The following is a 22340-nucleotide window of genomic DNA, read 5'->3' on the forward strand; positions in this document are numbered from 1 at the left end:
CCCCTTCTCTCCTGGGGGCTCCCCCAGGAAGAATTGCCCCATTGCCCCTGAATTCATCCACTCCCGTTCTAAGACATTCTGTGTGAACAGGATGACATGTGGCTAACTGGAGATGGGGAAGTGAGGGAAAAGAATAGAGCATTACTTTCTGAATGGAGGTCAGCCTCTTAATTTTCAGGTTCTGTTTTTAAAAATGGAGAAATACATGGAGCTCTTCATTTAAAATGTAGGCATACTGTAATTTTCTACTTTTTAAATGCATGTGCCTCATTCTGATACTGTCTTTATATTCATCACAATATGTTTTGGTCAGCATTTAAACAACTGGCTGCCTGGATTTCTGGATGCCAGATTTAGAGAACTAGGTTGTTCATGCTGTCTTACTGCTTCTGCCAACCCCTGGATGCCACCGAGCAACACCTCATGACAAGACCCACATCTCCTGCTCCTGGTTCAGGGATGCATCACTCTACCTTGTTTCTTCTGTGTTCTCTTCAGAGAACATGATGTCCAAATATCTTGGATTTTTCTTAATTGGCTGTGTGTGCCAGGGGAGGATTTATCGTACAAGTTTTGTTGTAAGCAACAATCTCTATTTTCCTCTTTTCTTGGAGATTTTTTGGAATGAAGAGGGGCAGAAACCAAGTGGTCACCAATCTCCAGAACTTCATGGACCTGGTGCACGTGCCAGGGGCTCTGTGGTTCCCTGCCAATGTTTTGGTTCCCTTTAAAATTTCTACAATTATCGGTGGCAGTAATTTGGGTGGAGTTAGTTCAAAATCATGTTGTCTTCTTACATTTTGTTTGTTTGCTTACCATCTACTTCCTATTCACAGCCCCTTTTATCTGTACCCCATATGACAAGATGAATACTATTGCTTTTTGGTGGGGGCATGGGGGGAATCAGGCAGAGGCAATATGTAATTCAATTGATTATAAGAAGAGGAACTTTGTACTCAACACAAAAATCATGCTTGGAGGAATCATCTTGTCTAATTCTGTGTTTTCACTGTCATGTATCTGAATTCATGGACTGCATTATCAGACATTCTTAAATGTCTTATCATGTGTGTGTTAGTGTCTTTGGGTGCTGTACCACATTACCACAAACTGGGTGGCTTCACGTGTCAGAAAGGCGTTCCCTCACAGATCTGGGGACCAGAGTTCTGAAGTCGCGGTATTATGGAGCCAGCCTTCCTGTGAAGCTGTAGCGGAGACGTCTTTGCCTCTTCCAGCTTCCGTGACAGTGTTTGCCATCAATCCTTGGCGTTTTGGGGGCTTGTGGCTGGGCCATTCCTGTCTTTGCTTTCGTTGTCACTTGGCATCCTCTCTGTGTGTCTCCACCTTCAAAAGCGGTCTTCTGATGAGGGCACTAGTTATGCTGGCGTGGGGGCCGTTCTCCTCCAGTGAGACCTCCTCTTACCGAATTCCCTCTGCAGAGATGCTGCTTCCAAATAAGATGCTGTTCTGAGGCCCTGGGGGTGGGACTTTAACATAGCTTTTTTGGGGAACACTGTTCAGCCCATGGCACTGGGAGCTCAGCTTATCAATCCCAGCAATGACGACCATCACCAGTGAACCCATGGGGGCCTGATACCACCTGCTTTGGTAGAGCTGGCTCTGCAATTGCCCCTGGCAGGGTCCTCTTCTTCTACAGTTCTTGATGGATTCCGTGGCCCACCAGTGCCAAGATCTTCTATTCCCCAAACAACTATAATCATTGAGTTCAGAAGCATTTACTGAAAACCAAATAAGCACACAGTACATGATTTTACAGGACAGTTAGAGTAGATGTATGGACAATGAATTGCTCATTCCCCTTGCATGGGGGAATCCTGTTTGGTTCACTGTTTCTTCGTTTTCCTTCTCTTTACACAAGTGCTGTGTTTTCCCAGTGGGAGCCTGCCCAGGTTCCCTGACCCTGTTCTCTCTGCCTGGTTCTCTGCTGCACTGACTACCAGCCTCACGTCCTCTCCTGTCTCCATGTGCTGCTGGCTGGAACAGGCCCCAGAGGAATTCTTCCCCTTGGGTGAAGAGCACCCTTCCCATCCCAACCGCTTCTTTCTCCTTCCCTTGTGATGCTCTCTCCCTCTCACAGATCTGTGCTTTTGTACTATAAGCAATGTCAAAACCATCCATCTGCTGAACAGGGCCATGTTCTCAGCTCCTCTATTCCTCCGACGTTATTCATCTCTCCATACTGGGACCTCAGTGTTCTGTTCACCTAGGCTAGTTTTCCGCAGTGTTCACCGATAAAACTGGTCAAAACACAAAACAAAACAACTTTTGGAGAAATATAAACACGATTGTTTCTCTTGTTTATTCACCTTAAATTGGCTCCATTGCACCTGCCTTGTAAGGTCAATAGGATGCCTGGAGTGGATCTTGTAGCTCTGTATGACAGGGGCTAGGTCCTTACAGGACTTCTTGTCCTTGGGGAGTGAGCTCCACCTGCTACATTGAGGACCCCAATCCTGGCATGCCATGCTGAGACACAGAGATGAGCTGCTGCAGTCACAGGAATGGTGGGTCTGGAGTTTGCTTGCTGTAAAAGAGGGCAGGAGGGACAGTGCTGACCACTGTCACACTCTGCAGAGGTGAGATAGGCTGACCAAGGCATCATGACCTCATCAGAGTACAGCCAACGTGACCAGCACGGACCACAATGAGGTCATGAGGGCCAATAAGTGAGAAGACCCAGTAAGGAGGAGTGCAGGGCCAGCGGCCCTCAGATGATCAGAAAGGCCGATGTCACTGATCAGTAGCTCTGCACCAGGTTGGGATTAAAGAGCAGAGTTTTACTTATGGGACTGCCATGGGCTCAGTGGAGCCCCATCATCTCTAATGAAGAAGAGTAAGAAGATTGGGATGGAAGGAGCTATCTGTTGGGTACAGTCTATAATTCTGGTATCACCATGTTGGGAACACATTCTAGGCTTTGGAGTGTTAGGGTTCTTTTTAAAGGTGATTAGACATACTGGCTGTCAGACACACTGGGAGGGCCATAAAACCAGCCTGTGAGGTATGGAGCCAGGGGCAGCATCCAAGCTCACCATGGGGACAGCTAGTGACAACCATGTCACTGTCCCTTGGCTTCAGCGATCTTGGGAGTGAAGGTAAACACCCCAGGAATACCTATTATCTCTTAAAAACAGGACCTCCACACATGTGCTTGCAGCTGCCTCCCACCCGGCTCACTTGCTCTTCCAATTCATGGGACTCAGGCCACATGGCTGTACCTGGCTGCACAGACCTGGAGCTGTGAGTTTCTGCTTCTGCATGGGGAAGGTGGGGATCATGATGCAGGCTGTTGAGCACCAGGACAAGGAACGTGCTCCACAGCCCCCGCCCCCCAGGTGGGTGGCCATTTAACACTGCCAGTATCTGTCTCGGGTGGGTTTGAAGACTGAATTCTAGTTCATGTCTTTAAAGGTAGAGATAGAGGGAATGAGGTGTGAGTGGCCTCAGCACCTCCAGAGCTTGGCCTCTAACCCCATAACTCATACCACAGGATAGTGCAAGCAACCCCTGATTTACAACCGTTTTGGTTACCAGGATGTATTTGTGATTGAATTGTTTGGAACCTAAATTTGTTTTTTTATAGAAACCAAAATAAACATGGTGCTAGTTTCCTTAGCTGGCCCATGTGCTCATCTAACTTGCAAACTGATGAGACAGATCTATTAATGCTAACCAGATAATAAGATCCATCTAACTCTATCTCCCTATCTATCTAGCTATCTATCTTATACATAATACATAATTATGTTATTTTGATGTTGTATGCTACATTGTATTATTCTTTATTTATATGATGGTTAATCCCAGAGAGTAGCTCACGCTTCCACAGAAGACTCATTTCTCAGTGTAAGTGAGAAGACGGGGCTCTGTGCACACCCATGTCCTCTCCTGGATCCCCGAATTTTGAAGCTCCTCTGTGCTGAATTGCCACAGCTGTGCACCTAGGACCCACAGGCCTCTTGCCATAGACGTCTGTTTGCTAAGTGGAGTGAGCAAGAAGTGCCATGGTCATCAGAAGACAGGGATATCTGAATGGACAGGAACGCCCAGGGAGCTTCACAGATGGAGCTGTGCCTAGAAAGCTCAGGCCAGGGTTGTGATTCAACAGGCCAAGGGGGTGAGGAGGGGTGAGTGGAGTTGTGTGAGTGGCAGGGAAGCATGGTGCTGGCTCCGTGATGGGACCCATCTGCCTTGTTTATTGCTTCTCAAGCCCTGGCAGAGGGCCTAGAATTTAGGAAGTTTCAGTAGCTATCGTTGAATGAACAAATGGCGAGCAAAATCAGGTATTTTTTTTTCTTTTGGAATATTCTAATTCTGAAGATTTGGGGATCATTTTATATGCATTCATGAAGTCAGTGGTAGACATAGTGTCCGCCAGCTTTCTTCCCGATTGTGCCATGTTAGCTATTTTGGCACCGATGGAGTCTTTCTTAGGAAGCAAAAATTGGGGGACAACTGAAAGTGTAAACTGAGAGTTCGAATCTACTTGGTGTTATTCAAACTTGAAACGTAAAACTAGTGAAAGGAAATAGACTCTAAGTATCAACCAATATATATAACTTAATATTTATAAACAATACATGTATGTCATCTATCTATCTAACCATCCATCTATCTATCATCTATCTATCTATCCATCCATGTATCTATCTATCTACCTGTCTATCTACATCATCATCACCACCACCACTATCACCATCACCATCTCTCAGTCTGGTTTGTACACATGTCCTGAGAGCTGTCTGAAATGGTTGTTGCCTAATATTCGTAATGGTGACTTGTGGTTTTATAAGAGACATCCTTTGGATAGATGGATGGATATGGATGGTGGTAAGGAATTAGGCACTTATTTGTTTGTTATTTGAGTACAGTTACATGGCCTAGTTTTTATTTTCCACTTCGTACAGTTTTGAATTTAAATATCAAATACTCAAAAGATATATTGGTACCTGCTCAGTGCCAGCCACTGTTGGTGCACTGTGGACACAGTGGTGAGCAGTGAAGATGGGCATCCTGTCCTTAAGCTTGCATTTTATATAACAAGTTGCAGAAAAAGTTTAAATTAGACCAAGTATGGAAGATTACTGGGCCAGTGTTCATTTAAGCAAAATATTGTAAGTGTGAATTCACAGAGCACTTCCTAGTTTAGCTCCCCTCTAAGGATAAATTCAGATTCCATTTATTTTTAACTTAAACCGATTAGATCAAAACAAAAGCATAATATTGATGAAATGTGGTCCTGTATGCAAATGACATTTTGGAATGTATTCATGTGTCCAATGCGATCTGAGGTTCCACCATGTACAATCTGCAAGAGCTGCTTCAGTAGCCCAGGTCCATCCTGTTCTGGGTTCATCCCAGTGGTATGCTGTTAATTGTTTAACAGCCAACTCTCAAAAACAAAATGAAGCGCCCTCATCTATGTTGTTTGTCAATTATACCATAGCTCATTTCCAGCTACCAACGTGATGTCGCTGAACGTGGAATAGGGAAGGATGTACATAACTGCCCTGGTCTCATAGCAGCTTACACTGAATGGAAGCGGCTATTTCATAACTATTCCATCATCCAGAAATTGTTTCTACACATAGAAATTATTCCAGCAGTTGTCCCTAAATCTCATGGCTTACAAAGGAATAAACAGAAGAACAATCTATTAAACTACTGAGGCTGTGGGGATGAGTTTGTAATTTCAATCACATGGTTAATATAGTGAAGGGATGCTTCTCATCTAGACCATATCAGAATGTGACTCAAGTGCTTGTCTTTACATAGTATTCAGTTAGTCAACGCTCAGATCTTATCTCTTCTTCCTTGAAGTATTTCTCCAGTGTGTGACTTCCTTTCCATTGCCCTGGTGTTAGCTTCCTCCAGATCTTCCCCTTTTGAGGCCTGTATCTCTTAAACTAGATTCCTTGGTTTCGCCTTTGCCTGCCTCCTATTTCATGCCATTTCCCATTTAATATTCCTAAGATTCTGGGCCGGGGGTGGTGGCTCATGCCTATAATCCTAGCCCTTTGGGAGGCTGAGGCAGGCAGATTGCCTGAGTTCAGGAGTTCGAGACCATCCTGGGCAACATGGTGAAACCCCATCTCTGCTAAAAATACAAACATTAGCCAGGCATGGTGGTGTGCACCTGTGATCCTAGCAACTTGGGAGGCTGAGGCAGGAGAATTGCTTGAACCTGGGAAGCAGAGGTTGCAGTGAGCCGATATCTTGCCACTGCACTCCAGCCTGGGCAACAGAGCTAGACTCCATACCAAAAAAAAAAAAAAAAATTCTAGGATTCTGAGATAATCTCATTAACTTCTTGCTCTTTACACAAGTTATCAGCAGCCTCTTACTCCCTTCAAGATAAAAGTCACCTCCGTAATCTGACATTTAATGTCTTCTGTTATCTGATCCCATCTTACCCATAAAAATGAATAAGCTGGCTGGGCGCGGTGGTTCACGCCTGTAATCCCAGCACTTTGGGAGGCCGAGGCGGGCGGATCAGGAGGTCAGGAGATCAAGACCATCCTCAATAACATGGTGAAAACCCGTCTCTACTAAAAATACAAAAAATTAGCCAGGCGTGGTGGTGGGCGCCTGTAGTCCCAGCTACTCGGGAGGCTGAGGCAGGAGAAGGGCATGAACCCAGGAGGCAGAGCTTGCCGTGAGCAGAGATTGCCCACTCCAGCCTGGGCAACAAAGCCAGACTCTGTCTCCAAAAAAAAAAAAAAAAACGAATAAGCCATTATTTCTTCTCAAGAGCCTTTTAGTTCGGTCAGAGTGATGACCTATGTTCTTCAAGGACATCCTATTTTTTAATTAGTAAAAATCTAAAATAATTTTATATTCACAGGAAGTTGAAAACATAATACAGAGAAGGTCTATGTATTTTTCACTCATTTTTCTCCAATGGTTACACTTAAACAACTATGGCACATTATCAAAACCAGTAAATTGACATTGGTACAATGTATATGCATAGTTTTATGCCATTTTGTCACATGTACAAATTCATGTAACCATCACAGGGATGAAGATACAGAACTTTTCCATCATCACAAGTATGATGTGCAACCCTTATATAATCATATAATCAAATAATCAAATCCACCATCATCCCCAACCATCACTGGCTTCTGTTAAATCAAGTTCAGCCTAAAGCTGCCTCCTTACATATTTTAAGTTCAGTCTAAAGGTTTCTCTGTAAAATGTGAACTGTAACCTAAATGGAGTTGTTAACAGACTACAGTCTACTCTTGCACCGATCACTGAGTTTTAGCTAACCAAAAGTGGCCAACAATTCAAACTGTGTTCAAATAAGGTGAACGTTGAGCTGTAACCAGTTTGGCTGTTTCTGTACCCTACTTCCATTTTCTGTAGGTCACTTTCCTTTTTCTGTCCATAAATCTTCTTCCACCATGTGGCTATGTTGGAGTCTCAGAGCCTACTCTCACTCAGAGGCTGTCCGATTTGCAAATCGTTCTTTGCTCAAACGCTTTTAAATTTAATTCAGCTAAAGTTTTTCTTTTCACACATCTGACAACTGTGGATTGAGCCCCCATTCCAACTTTGGTCATTTTGAGAATGTGAGGTAAGTGGGGTCATCGTATGTGACTTTGATATTGGCATTGTTTACTCAGCATAATGGCCTTGAGATCCACCCAAACAATTGCCTGTGTCACGAGCCCCCTTTTTTTTACTGGCGAGTAGTATTCCACAGCATGGATGTGCCACAGTTTGCTTAATCATTCACCAGTTGAAGGACATCTGCTCTGTTTCCAGCTTTGGACTCTTATGACTGATGCTTCTATGTACAAGTTTTGTGGGAACATAAACTGGAAAAATGTCCGGAAATTCAACTATAGGATAGTAGGAAATGCTGCATTTAGTTGTGTAATAGACCACCAAACTGTTTTCCGGAGTGGCTGTACCATTTTGCATTCCCACTAGCAATGTCTAAGAGATCCTATTTCTCTTCCTCCTCACCAGTCTTTCGTGCTGTTACTATTTATTATTTTAGTTGTTCTAATAGGTGTGTAGTAATACCTTATTGTGGTTTCAGTGTGCATTCCTTAATGGCTAGTGATGTTGAACATCTTTTCACATGTTTATCTGCCATCCAGAAAAAACATCTTATTTTTGTCTCCAATAGTTTATTTGTGGTGTACTTTCTGCAAACAATAATGTTTCTCTTCTTCATCCATCCGAATTGTATTCATTTTCTCTGACCCAACTCAAATCCCATCTCTTCCTCAAATTTCAGCTCTATTGCGCTCGATCTACTCTGAACCCCCATAGTAACAGTTGTCATGAAGTGGCTTGTATTTTTACTGAACCATCTCCTATTTGTAAAGGACACTGTTAATGGTCCTCCTGGATCCCCTGGATCCCTCTGCTGGGCTCCCATTCCCTGGCTTCCCTGTGAGTAGAAGAACTTCCACTCTGCTTTGAAAGTGCCCAGTGGCCGATACTTAACTTCTATTTGAAAGATTGTCCTCAGGCTGCTGGAGCTGTCTCCACACATGCAGAGACCTGGAGACCCCAGGATTTTATATTCACCTGGAGGAGCTTGCAGCCAATGGCTGAGGCATGTGGGAGTTTGAACACTCAGCTTCCTCGCCCCGGGTTGAAGAAATTCGAAGACATAATTTGCACTCCAGAACTACCCTGCAGCATTGGGCTTGGGCTGCCCTCCTGTCTTAGTCTAAACTTATATCCTTGCCTGGCTCCTTCTCTTTCTTGTTCTGCTCACTCTCATTCCCTTGCCACTTTCTCCTGGGAGGATTTTCTTAATAAATCCCTTACATACAAATTTTCATCTCAGGTTCAGTTTAGGGGAACTCAAACAAAGATAGTTGGTACTGGGAATAGTGCTTGGAAACCGACTTTGAGGATGGGATTCTAGAGTTAGATCACTCACAGGCCAGATGGTAGCAGGTCCTTTTCACTGGTGGTAAGTGGAGTATTGATCATCTCTGGTATATTGTAGGTAGTGTGCCGTTGCAATTCTTAGGAGTTTCATGAGTGATGGGTTTAGACGAGATATAGATTAAGAGGCTGCATTGACTTTTGTGATATCTCTGTTATTTGAGAGAGATGGGGGAAATGGTCACTTTAAGGATGGGGAATTAGTTGTGGCTGAGTAATACTAACAGATTGCAGAGAGGTCAGCCAAATACAAAGTTAAGGCAGTGAGAGAAAGCTACAAGGTCTCCACAGAGCATATAAAAGACCCTCATCTTTGGCTGCCAAAGAGAAGACTATCCTAATCTCTAAGACCAGGACCCTAAAGAGAACCAGAACCTCAAAATTGTCCAAATTTTCACCCTTCAGTCTACACCAGTGTTAGAGAAGGAAGGGAACCCTAAAACTTGGGGTGAAGATACATGCATTCTAGAACACTGGGCCCCTGTATCCCCGGAACTTTCTGTGCCTGCAGAACACTCACTTCTTTCTTTCTTGCAACCCTCTTTGCCTGAAGACTATCTAGGTCTCAGTTGAGGCATATGGCTTGCAGAAATATGCTTGCCCAACCCAAGATCTGCCTTAACGTTCCCCCATGACCATGAGAGCAACATCTAGTGTCAAAATTGTCTAATGACATGACTGGGGAAGTAGTATCCGGCTAAGGGGGAGAAGAGATTATTCACATGAAGAGTTGCAGGACTGGCTAAAATATACTGTGAGAAAGTGGTAGTACGTGATTGAAATGGACCTCGACGGATCTGCGTGCATGAGTGGGTGTGTGCGTGGAGGGGACGGATATCAAACTGTATATCGTATAAGGCAGCCTTTGTTGATAGGAATCCTTAACTCAGCAACACCCTGGAAAGGACTCCTAGGCCAGTCCTATTGTGCTTGTGGGTTGACTCTAGAAAGTTTAGGAAAAAATGACAGCCTATAATAAGTGGGCTGCCAGAACTGCCTTGGCAGGATGTTGAGGAAAGGATCAAAAGAGTCTTAGAAATGAGCATGCTGCAATGAATCATTGTAAAACCTGAGAACCCTCCAGCCACCGCTGCTTCTTGGGAAGGCACAGAGGACATTCCTTCCACTGAGGAGGTAAGGAATGCACCAGTAGAGAGTGTCGGAACCACTGAGAAACTCTAGCAGGGCTGAGGAGAGGGGTTGCTATAAAATAATCGGGCCTCCTAGTATTATAGAGTTCATAGGATTGCAGAACACAGTGGCCAGGAGGCAGCATGTGCCCATCAGAGTCAAGGTGGCCATGATTACCATAACAGACAGCAGGAGCAGAAGCCACCATAGAACCTACCTTCAGTTATCTATGAAAATGGATAATAGACCACCCTCAGTTATCTACGAGGATAGATAATAGATCACCCTCAGTTATCTATGAGGATGGATAATAGACCACCCTCAGTTATCTATGAGGATAGATAAGAGACCACAGGGTTCCTACAGGCAAGACATGTGTGCAGCTGACAAGAGTATCACTTTACACAATCAAGAAATCAAGAGTGGATGAGCGGTAAGCTAATGCTAGTGACTCCATTGTAAGACAGGATCCCTCATCCAGTTTCCAAGTCTGAGCCAGTTCTCAGACCCAGAGCTTTTGGATGGAAGGAGAAACAGGGTAGCCTTGAAAAAGAACCCTGATCTCTGCCAGGTATGCAGTAGCAATTCCTGATGTTCTTCTCCAAGGGGACTTTCAGACACTGGTCTGAGTAACACACCACTTAGAAAAAAAACACTGCCACGTTTTTCAAGGCCTAATCAACAAGAGGTCTTATGGGATGGTGGCTCCAGGGAACCCAAAGTAACATCACAGCCACCTTTTGGAGGGAGTCAGGTGATATATGAAGTCCTGACTCAGAACTGTCATACGAATGGATCCATGAATCGTCATTTTTCTGGTTCCCAAATGCATAAGTAAGATGGACATTGTTAGCAGGCTGCAGTACCCTCACTAGTTTCTTGATCTGAAGAGTAAGGGGTACCATGATTGGAAAGGCTAAACAGAAACCCCTTCACTCTCCTTGGCCCCAGCCAAGATAGCGTGGGAGAAAACTGACCTCAGCCTGGGTGGAATGGCTAAGTATTGCCCGTCTCAAAGACTTAACTGATGCAATGTGGTGTTCTCTGTTACATCTACAGTACTGAGTTCATCAATCTGGCCAGTAAAAAAACCTGATGGATCCTATGGGATCAACGTGGACTACCACAAACTTAACCAAATGGCAACTCCAGTCTCAGACTCTGTGGTAGATGTGGTATCCTTGCTGGACTCTGGTTTGTGGTATGGCTATGGAGTTAGTGAATGCATTCTTTTCTATACCCATCATGAAGGAGGGCCAGAATCTGCTTGTATTCACTGGGAAGGGTGGGCAGTTTGCACCCACAGCCCTGCTCCATGGTTGTGTTATCTCCATCACAATACAGCCTGAAGGGGCTGGACCCTCTGGGCATTCCAGAGTATCCTGTTGGTCCATTACATTGATGACATGTTTATAGGACATGATTAGCAGAAAGTGGTGACCATCCTGGTTGTGCTTCATAGGGTAGGAGATAAACTCTACAAGGTTTGAGGGGCCTGGTATACTGGTGATTTTTCAGGGATCCAGAGATCTGGGGTGGGCCAGGCTGTTCACTCTTAGGTAAAAGACATGTTATGACATCTTGGACCTTCTTCCATTAAGAAAGAAGATGGACTTGTAGGCATATTAAGGTTTTGAAGACAGCACATGTCATATTTGGAAATACTCTATTGGCCCATTTATCAAACGACTTGCAAAATGACCATTTCAAGTGGGCTTAGAGCAACAGAGGCTCTGTAGAAGGTCCGAACTGCAGTGCACACAACACTGCCTCTTGGGCCGTATAAGTCATCCTATTCCATGCTGCTGGATGTACCTGCCATAGATGTAAATATCATGTGGAATCACTAGCTGGGCCCAATATGAGGGTTGCAGTGCACATTTCTGGAGTTCTGGATCGAAGCCAGGCCCCCTGCAGCAGAGGGACATGTGGAAAGCATCTCTTGGCTTGGTCCTGGGCCTTGGTGGAGACTGAGCGTCTGGCCATAGGCATCACATGACCACTCAGGCAGAGTTGTTCATCAAGAGCTGGCTGTTTTTAGACTCACCAAATCATAAGATTGGACAAGCATGGCAACAATTTTCATGGGAGCAAATAGATATGCCCCAATGCATGGAGATGATGAATGTAAGTTATAGTCTTAGACCAATGGCTGCAATGGGAGCTATAGGTCATCCCACTAACCTTCTCCTTGTCAATTTCCCCCAGACATTGTGACTAACAACCACCTTGAAGATGTCATGACAGTATAAAGCAAACGTAATGTGAGTGGATTTAAGCAAAGCAAGGGGTGAAGTGAAATGAATATTGTCAGTGCTTCTCCCATATTCCCTAGAATCCCCACCTGATGACTTTCCCCTTGCCCCCACCCCAACATCTGGATGGTTTGCCTTTGATGACTGCTACCTGCAATGCTTCTTTGAAAGATGGCCTTTGGGCTACTGGAGTCACTTTTATTACATGTGCAGAGAGCTGGAATTACCTAGGAGTTTCTGTTCCCTTGATGCAGACCTTAGCCAATGACTGAGAAGTTCAAGAGTACAGAAACTCAGCTCCAATGTTTCAGATCAAGACAACTCCTAGGTATACTTCACACTTCTGAATTATCCTGAAGGACCAGGCTGGAACACTTGCTGTAGGATTTTGCCTGAAATTACATCCCTGTTTGGCCTTCCCCCTTCCCCACCTTGATTCCTTCTTTTTTTCATTATTTTCTCCAGGGAACACTTTCTTAATAAATAAGTCATTGCACGTGAAGTCTTATCTCAAGTTCTGCTTTCGGTAAAACTGAGCTATGACACTGTCTCTTCTTCTTAACCAGGATTTAAGATTCTAGAGGGCTGAGATGGTTTCTTACAAATTCTTGAGTTTTCAATCATTGTGTGCAGTACAAGGCATGGATGTCATAGACAACCATTTGAGTCTCAACAAAATCCTTGAATCACTGTAACAAACTTTAAACAATTATATATTTATATATAATTTACAGGAAATGAAATATTTGCTTACTAAATTGAGATGTGATTTGCCTTTTTTTTTTTTGCAGAATGATGGGAAGCTATTCATTTTTGAAATCTTCATTTTATTTTGACATCTTCCAGCATGATTCAGATACTACTCATTACAAAGGGTCCATCACTTTCTCATCAAGGTGAGGAATGACACAAAAGAAATGCCTCATGGCAATAAAAATTTATTTTTAAAGTAAAGTTTGATTTTCTAAGATCTCACCGCATACAAATGAATTTCCCTTTCCACTTGGCTATCACAATATTCACAGAAAATTACAATAAGATGAATCATTCACATCAGTCAGAAATTCATGATTTTAAGATCTCATACAATGCCTCTGATAAGATAATGTGTAAGGAAAGAACATAATTGAAGTAGCAGACAAGGTTCTCCCTTTGATAAAGATGACAAAACCCTCCCATCAAAAATATGGGAAACTTCATTACCCATTCTCATTCCAAACGTTTTTAAAAGATATATTCTTGACTTACTTTGGTAATATGATATATGTGTGTGATGGAAGAGAAGTTGATCTTCTGAAAAATAACAGTTTCAGAAAGTAATGTGAACAGCAAATGGGGCAATGAACTGAAATACATTGGGAGGAAAGATGCTCTCCTAAGTGTGAGCAGAGCCAAATCCACGCCCTGTGGAAGGTAGGCAAATACTGAGAAATACGCAGTGAGCGAATCTTCACTGGCATTGCCACGACATTGTTCTGGCCTCTCACCTTGTGTTCATGCCATAGATTTGCACCTTCTGTCCCTACCTGAGGTTCGTCCTCACCCCTAAGTTCTGGTCAGTGAATTGGGAGCAGAATGCTGTGTGTCACTTTTGGGTTGGAGCATTTGGTGGCCTGTGGGAGACCCCCTAGAGCTCTCTTTCCCTCTGCCATGGCAGCTGGAAATGTGGGAGATTGTGGCAACATTGTCAACCTGGAACCCAAAGCAGGGACCATGCTGAGCTCAGCGCCACCTTTAGCTAAAGTGAGGATACAGTGGGAATAAGAAAAAAAGTGTTGAGATGTGGGTCAAAGGTTCCAAGTTTCAGTTAGAAGAGAGGAATAAATTTTAGTGGTCTATTGCACAGCATGGTGACCATAGTTTATAGTAGTTTATTATCTATTTTAAAATTGCTAAAATAGTAGATTTAAAATATTCTCATCAGGAAGAAAATTAAAAGTGGGTGAGGTGATAGGTATAATTAGCTTGATTTAATCTTTCAACAACGTAGACATATTCCCAAACATAACATTGTACTGCATAAATGTGTACAATTAATCTGTGTCAATTGAAAACTTACATTTTTAAAAAAAGAAAAAAATATTTGTAATGTTAAGCTACTGAGATAATCAGATTTTTTTTCACGGAATACCAGCCCATCTTGCCTAATCTGGAAGGTAATGTTTACCTTCCCCTTGATTTCCTACCATTCTTCCCTAACTCCCTCCCCTTCTACAGTTCTTCCAGTCAGTCCCCCAGGCTCCCAGGAGTTCTGTCTCTCATTCCTCCAAACAAAACTTATTGAGAAATTAATTTATACTAGGGCATAATGAAGCTTAATTTATTGTATCTTTCTGTGGTATTTTTGTAAGTAAGGACAAAATTTAAGGCAAATAAATACATAATGGGTAAACAGATAGAAGACAGACAAACACATTGTAGGGAAAAGAAGCTCTGGCATTGTGAAATTATCTGCACAAGTCTTCCATCACTGGTCTGCTGTAAGCATTAGCAGAGCATTAGGATTCAAACATAGACTCTGGTACTAGGCAGAACTGGGTAGAAATGCTCTTACTGTCATTAGTTTTGTGACATTAGCAAAGTCATATTAATACGTAAGCCTTAGTTCCACATCTGTGAAATGGACAAATGCATATGACTTGGGGTTTATATGAAGATTTAGTGGAAGTAATGTACATGTTCTTTGCTGAGTGTCTAATAGTTATAAATAAATCTTTTTATTATCGCTCTCCCTATTACCTAACAATCTCTTTCACTCCATTGTATGATCAAAAACGTAAAGGGTATTATCATTGATATTTTTATTCATGATCACTTTGGAAATTCCCCTTACTTTTCATGGTTAGTTGCCATGTGTACTGAGTGCTGTCAGATCTTTAATTTCTCAGAGCTATTCCTCTCCTGTCTAAATGAGGAAAATCAGTCTCATTTTTAAAAAATCCATAGCCTATATGTCTTATAGATATATTTTAATTCTTTTTTTCTCCATAGAAGGCTAAAGGCTTAGCCCATATATTCCTTGGCATTTTCCAGCAATCAAGTGGATCATGCAGTTTCCCTGGGTCACAAGACAGTTCATGACAGCGTTGCTCAGTTTTATACCATCCGCTAGCCAGATAATGAATTTACAGAAGAATCCAAGACAGAGGGAAGAAGGTTTTAATTTCACTCTAAATATACATATACATACACACACATATACACACATACATACATATATACACACAGATATATATATATACACACACATACATACATATACACACAAATATTTTGTACATAATATGGGGAAGAAAGCTATGGAAGAAAGGTATTAAAAGGAGAGTAGGAAGGAAAATGAAAGATAAACATTGCCTTCCATATCAGGCAAGATGGGCTGGTATTTTGTAGGAACAATCTCATATATATGTATACATAATATATACATATATAGTGTGTATATATATATATGCACACTATTCTACTATATATTATAGTGGAATATATATTATATGTAGTATACATGCTAGTATATATAGTGTGTATATATATAGCATATATAGTATATATACTAGTGTATATGGCCAAAGTGGCCAGCACTGACCAGAATGAGGTCATGGAGTCCAGTAAGTGAGAAGATCCAACAGGGAGGAGTGAAGGGCTGGCAGTTCTCAGACGATCAGAAAGTATACATGGTAATCTTTGGTAATGAGGACAATATGATCATTTGTTGCTTTTTAAAATAAATTTCATAGATATTTCAGGTTTTAAAAATTCCTCAAAAATGCACAGTAGTTCCACTTCATCTCTTTGGTACATCTTTCCAACATCCCATGGGCCCTCAACTCACTAAGTGAGGGCAGTTCATATATCTAAAAGTCTAACCCCCTAGGAAAATGTTTTCCATGCATATTGTGAAACTATGTCCATGAATTATTCTAAAAGAGAGTGATTAAATTAAATAAACACATTTTAAAGATATTACTTTTAAATGCCAAAAACTGCAATTAGTTTTGCACTAACCTATACTATATATATATATATGGATGGATATAGTAGAATCAGGTCTGACTTCCAAAGTGAGTTTAACTTATCTTTTGGATTAAGATTTTAACCATGATAATATATGGTGGAGGTTTTCAAAATTTTGAAAATGGGATTGTGAGTCAGAAAAATCCAGGTTTACGCTTCCTTACCGGTCATGTGACCTTGAATAGTTCAGTTTTATGAAAGTGAGTTTAATTTCTTTACATATTAAAAATGGGAGTAATAGCTGTCTTCTTAATGTTATAGCTTCTTCCTAGATATCAAATGACATATATATGTGGAATACTATACAAATGAGGCAACTGTTATCACGCTTATTATCTTGAGGGAGGTCTGTGTCATGTACAGAGTAAACAAGTGGATTGGCTGAGTGGGATTAAGAGCATGAGAATCTTAAGGCTAATAATTTCATTTTGGTTGGTTCAAGTCAGAACTTGAGTTAGTGTCTTTAAAATGTATTAGTTTAATCACTCCCTTTTAAAATAATTCATTGACACAGTTTCACAATTTGCATGGAAAACATTTTCCTAGGGGTTTAGACTTTTAGATATATGAATGCCCTTATCTATTGAGTTGAGGGCCCATGGATGTTGGAAAGGTGTACCCAAAAAATGAAATGGAACTACTGTGCATTTCTAAAGATTTTTTAAAAATTAAAATGCCGATGAAATTTATTTTAAAAAGCAACAAAAGAGTGTATTGTCCTCATTACTGAGGATTACCACATTCTAAAATGACTTTCCTTTTAGAAGAAAGGCTTTTCATTTCCCCCATCCCCCCTTTCTCTCCCCACACCCACCGTGAGTGTGTTTGTCTAGAATGTTGGCCAAGCCACAGTTTAAACCCGTAAGAGACTGTTCTTTTATTATGACTTAATTCAATACAGGCTTAACTAATCTAAAACTTTTTTGTTTTTCAGAGTAATCCTAATACATTTGCACTGGAGCCAAAACCTTCTACTGTGTTTTCAGCAGAATGCAAACGAATGGCACTGATCAAATCTCTTTAAACTGGGAGGGAGCCTGTGGTGGGAACACAGGCCCCTTAGTTGTAGTGACATTGATGATAGTGGGGGAAAGCTTGTCATTTGGCGACTAGTAAGAAAAGCAGAGGGTTTCTCAGTCATGGCTTCTTGCTTAGGACTGGATGGGGACTGAGGAGCATCACTCCAACAATGTATGACTGATGAGGACAAATTGAGAAACCGCGGCTTAGTGCCCATCCTCATGAGAGAAGGCAAAATATAGGCCACATGTCCCCCAAATTCCGGATGCTTGGAAGACAAGAGCCTACAGAAATGCCAAATGGATTCTTAGCATATTTTACAGCAGCTTTGAATAATGTTTTCCTTTTTCATTCCTAATGAATCTAAGCTTTCTTTAAATATATATATTTTTCCCTTCTGCATAAAATCTTTCTGAAAGGACTGATGGATGAGAATTCATAGGTAAGTTCTTTAAGTTCTTTTTTTTATTCTGAGTTTTCTTTCATTCCCCTGCATTTGGAGAGTCTTTCAAACTCCCAATTTTAATGGAAATAAAGTTTGGCAATTCGGGATTTTTCTGTTGCCCACAAGAATCCCCAAATGAGTGTTTGCTCTGTCAGACCCTGTACATCGCAGCAACCTCAAACATAAAAATGCACTATTTCCAAAGCTAATGTCCTTCAAGGTTCATTATGGTGGGTAAACTTTAGTGGTTCAAATGCTCATGATACACACTGTAGAAGAGTTTGCACATTTGAAATCATACTCCACCTCGCAACAGCAAACAGAAAATGCCAAAGGAATGTAAGATACAGAATGATCAAAATAATTTTCATATTATTCACTCCAGGAAAAATGGTTTCTTTGGTTAAAAAATGTAAATTGCTGGTCAGCTTAATCTTCTAAGATTGATGGCAAGTACAGCTGCCATATTGAGTCGGAAAAATAAACTTTGACTCAAACACAAATGTGGTTTTGCCAGCTCGTGTTTAGGGTAAGCCACAACTTTCAGTGTCTCTGGATAGACACAACCATACTCCTTTCCAACTATCTTACTCTGAATTCCTAATTCTTGCAGTTTATTTTCTCTTCATATGACTCAAGAAACACATTTAAAAAAATATAATCACAAAAAGGAGGCAGGAATGTTTAAGGAGGTTTTTATTTGTGTTTGTTTTGCTCAGTGTTTGTCCTTTTCCTGTTCCTGACAAACTGCTTTTAAATTTCTTAAACCAGGGCCTTCTCAAGGGCAAAAGCAGAGAGTTCTGGAAGACATGATGCTTTCTGTCTTTCATAAAAAGTCTGAACTTGGAACTGAGTACAGGGATCGTGAGATGGAAGTGATAGAAAGGAAGCCCCTTCAGATCCAGAGGGAATGAACTTGCGTGGCAGCCAGGCCCACCAGGGCAGTGCCGGGCACGTGGCAAGACCCGAAGACACAGAGGCTCCACTTGCTTAGGGAGGCTGGGCCCAGCCCTGCAAACAGCTCCTGGACCCTAGGTTCAACATGAGAGCCACAGAGAGCCTCTTAGGAGACCACACAAGGAGCACAGACCAAAGACCAGAGCTTCCCAGGTGGCACGCCCTGCTCAGGGACCCCTGCACTGCTCCAGTCCTGGGTGGGTGAGGTGAGAGCTTCCCAGGTGGCACGCCCTGCTTGAGGGTCTCTGCACTGCTCCAGTCCTGGGTAGGTGAGGGGGGGACACCCTGGGATGGCTGAAGATGGGTAAATGCGCTGTTGGCTCCTCTCAGAGTCTTGTGTAATTTGGCATTAGGAGAACAAAGGTTTGGACATTTCTTAAGCATCCTATTATTTAATAGAAAAGTATGCATATTATTAAAGAAGTGAAAAAACAAAACACTTGAAAAGCTCTTGAAAGTTAATGAATGATTAAAATCACCCCTAACTTCACTACTTAGTGATTGTTAACGTTAAGGTGTATATCTTCCTAGCTTATTTTTCTACGTATAAATATATGAATATATGTATATATTTCTTAATAAGTAAGATTTTACTTGGTACATAATTCGGAATCATCTTCTCACATAATATGTAACAGGAACTTTTAAAGTCATTATTAAAAAGAGGTACCATTAATGGATAAATGCTATTCCATCATATGGGTTTAATCTACTTTCTGTCACACTTTCTTTGGCTGATATTACAGCTATGTGGGATGACCTCCAATAAGCTGTGTCCATCCTGTGGTGGGATGGGCCAGACAGAGTCCAGTTCCACCAGGGACCAAGCACATCACTGGATGTCAAGGCCATCGTTGTTGGAGAGGAGGAAGGAGCTGCTGGAGTTCCCTCTCCTGGCATTCCTCTTGGCCTTCCATAGACCAATATTTGAGCAATACCAATGGGATAGAGCCCAGGTAGCGGTGCTTCCTCCTATAGCTCTATGAGACTCAGACAGTAGAGTAGAATATAAGTCAGTCCGAATTATTATTTTCCCTACCTTTCTCTGGCTCCCTTCCATCACCCTTGAGGGTTTTTGCACAAAAGTGGTTATGCACAGTGGAAATGGCAGCAGTGGGCTCAGCACCACACTGTGGATGAGGTCCCCCCATCTAGCAGCTGCTCCCCACTAGGGCACAGTCCCTGGTCAAGGTGATGATGATGCCTGGAGGAACCTCAGTACTCAAGGGAGTCATGCTGGGACAACCCTCATTCCTGGAAATACCTTGAGGAAGGACAAAGAGAAGAGGAATAAATGAGGATATGCACCAATAATTGATTGGTGTGTTCACAAGCCAATGGCAGATGCTCCTCATGGATGCCCCCAGTAACAGGCCCTCTTAGGCACTGGATTCTGCACTAGTGAATGAGGACGCAGGAGAGATAGAACTCTGAAATGAGCAGCTTTGCATGACATTTGATTCTTGCATGGAGATTCTTAGGAGGAAGATTATTAGGTCCTAAGATCATGAACACATTTAAAGCTCTTGCACCATCTTACTGATTTGCAGAAAGAAACCAACTCACATCTTTTCAGAATTTTGAGAGATTTAAATTTCACTACATCCTTGCTAGCATTGGCAGCTAGACAGAAGGGACAAAAATGAAAAGGAGCTTCTAAGGATGAAGCTATCAGATAGGAGAATGAGAACAAACTTGAGCTGAAGTTCTGTGGAGTGGTTTGTGGCAAAGCCAGGACAAACCTCGTTCAGGAGATGGGCGTGGCGATGGCTCACTGGGTGGCACTGGCCTATTTTGGGATGGACACCTTGGTGGCACGGGCAGTTGAGAGAGGAGGAGGTAAAAAAGCTAACCTGTCACGGAAAACATGCACTCAGGCCATCATTCACACTGGAATGCAATTTTTAAATTATAAGGTCAGACACTTACTGCAGTTGAAATACTTTGTACACATAGAGTAAAATTTCCAAAGCTGAACATCAAATTAAGGCAGATCTGACTTTACTACATATAATTGCTTCCCAGGGCTGCCATAACAATGCGTCACAACCTGGGTGCCTTAAAACAACAGAAATGTGTCCTTACAGTTTTGGAGGCTGAGAGTCTAAAACCAAGGCGCCATCAGGGGTGTGCTCCTCCCATGGCTCTAGGGAACACTTTTGCCTCTCACTCAGCTCCTGGTGGCTCCCAGCAATCCTCCGCACTCTTGGCCTGTGGCTGCATCCTCCCAACCTCTGGCTCTGCCATCACCTGACTGTCTTCTCTCTGTGTCTGTGTGTCTTTCTCTTTGAATAAGGCCCACCCTACTCCAGCACAACTTCCTCTTACCTTGATTTCACTGCAGCGACCCTATTTCCAAATAAGATCACATTCGCAAGTACCCCAGGTTAGCGTTTCAGCATATTTTGGGGGAGAGGAACATATTTTGACCCACTAAGGCTAATATGTATTCATTTCTTTCATTTATAGAGTACTTTCACATTTGTCTGTGTTAGTGTGAAGTCTTTGTAGGCAGAGTCTCCTTTTAAAATGTTATGCTTGCATTTTGTTTAGGAGCGCATACTGCATGTGCACGAGAAATCTCATCATGGGAAGCCCCACAGTCAATGATTTGGTGGGCTTTTTTTTTGTCATGAATAGCATTTGTGTGCGTTCTATTCCCAACTCTCTCTGTAGAAAGTCTTGCAAGGGATAAAGAGTATCTCTGTGTGTCTTGCTGTGTACCACACTCAGCAGAATGCTTCGTGCACCTGGGCTTTTATTATAAATGTTTAACACAATGATGATAAAAACTAGTTCTAACAAGGCATGTAATTATCTCTCCCTCATCTTCACCCCATTTATTCAGCACTTTGAGCTGCAGGCATGTTTCTTATGTTTCTGTTGATTTAAACTTTCTTTGCCTTTCTGCATTTTACCATCTTGGTTCTTACTATTTTCTCCAAGTCTGGCAATGTGTCACATCCAAATTCATATTGTGCGATGGACACTTTATCTCATTTACATAACTGACTGCTGTCTTTACCAGCAATTCCATCATGAGCTTTATTTGAGTAAGGGGTTGGGAGATAAGTTCAAATTGGACTCCCAGCCCCGAATCCCAAGTGGGCATCTGTACTGACCTGCGACTGGGTCACAGAACATAGGCCTTAGTTGCTTTCAGCTTGTAATGACCGAGCTGCCTTACAATTCTGTTTTCTCCTTTGTCTGTTTGGACAGAGTGTCTTGTGCAGAACAGAGCATGACAAATTGTTTTTTTACTATAAATGCAAGGAGATGATCCTCCATGCTTCTCTCTTCCTTTTTCTCAATAAGCGGTATTTTTCAGTGTTTATTGCATGCGTTTTTCACTAAATTCTGGTAGAGTGCCTTTTGACTTTTCACTGCCACTTCAGCAGGGATCTGCATTTGGCTTTGGGAGTGGTGTTCTCCTACCTCTGTCTTCCACTTCCTCCCTCCTCTCTCCTCTCCATATGATTTCACTTGCAAATGTTCACCGATATGCTAACTGCAGTGGAGCTCTGAAAAAGCGTAAGGCTGGTTTACTGTGCTGATCCTGAGACAATCTAACAGCTTGCTTA

General features: G+C 42.2%; 2 annotated features.

Annotated features, from left to right (window-relative positions):
- Positions 18343-18843: an enhancer, noted in NCBI's record as "H3K4me1 hESC enhancer chr18:73294662-73295162 (GRCh37/hg19 assembly coordinates)". NCBI's record gives its function as "activates a minimal SCP1, AML or CMV promoter by ChIP-STARR-seq in naive H9 embryonic stem cells {active_cell/tissue: H9 hESC(naive)}" and the evidence as "EXISTENCE:reporter gene assay evidence [ECO:0000049][PMID:30033119]".
- Positions 18844-19344: an enhancer, noted in NCBI's record as "H3K4me1 hESC enhancer chr18:73295163-73295663 (GRCh37/hg19 assembly coordinates)". NCBI's record gives its function as "activates a minimal SCP1, AML or CMV promoter by ChIP-STARR-seq in naive H9 embryonic stem cells {active_cell/tissue: H9 hESC(naive)}" and the evidence as "EXISTENCE:reporter gene assay evidence [ECO:0000049][PMID:30033119]".

Source organism: Homo sapiens, chromosome 18, assembly GCF_000001405.40.
Source record: "Homo sapiens chromosome 18, GRCh38.p14 Primary Assembly".
NCBI classification, from domain to species: domain Eukaryota; kingdom Metazoa; phylum Chordata; class Mammalia; order Primates; family Hominidae; genus Homo; species Homo sapiens.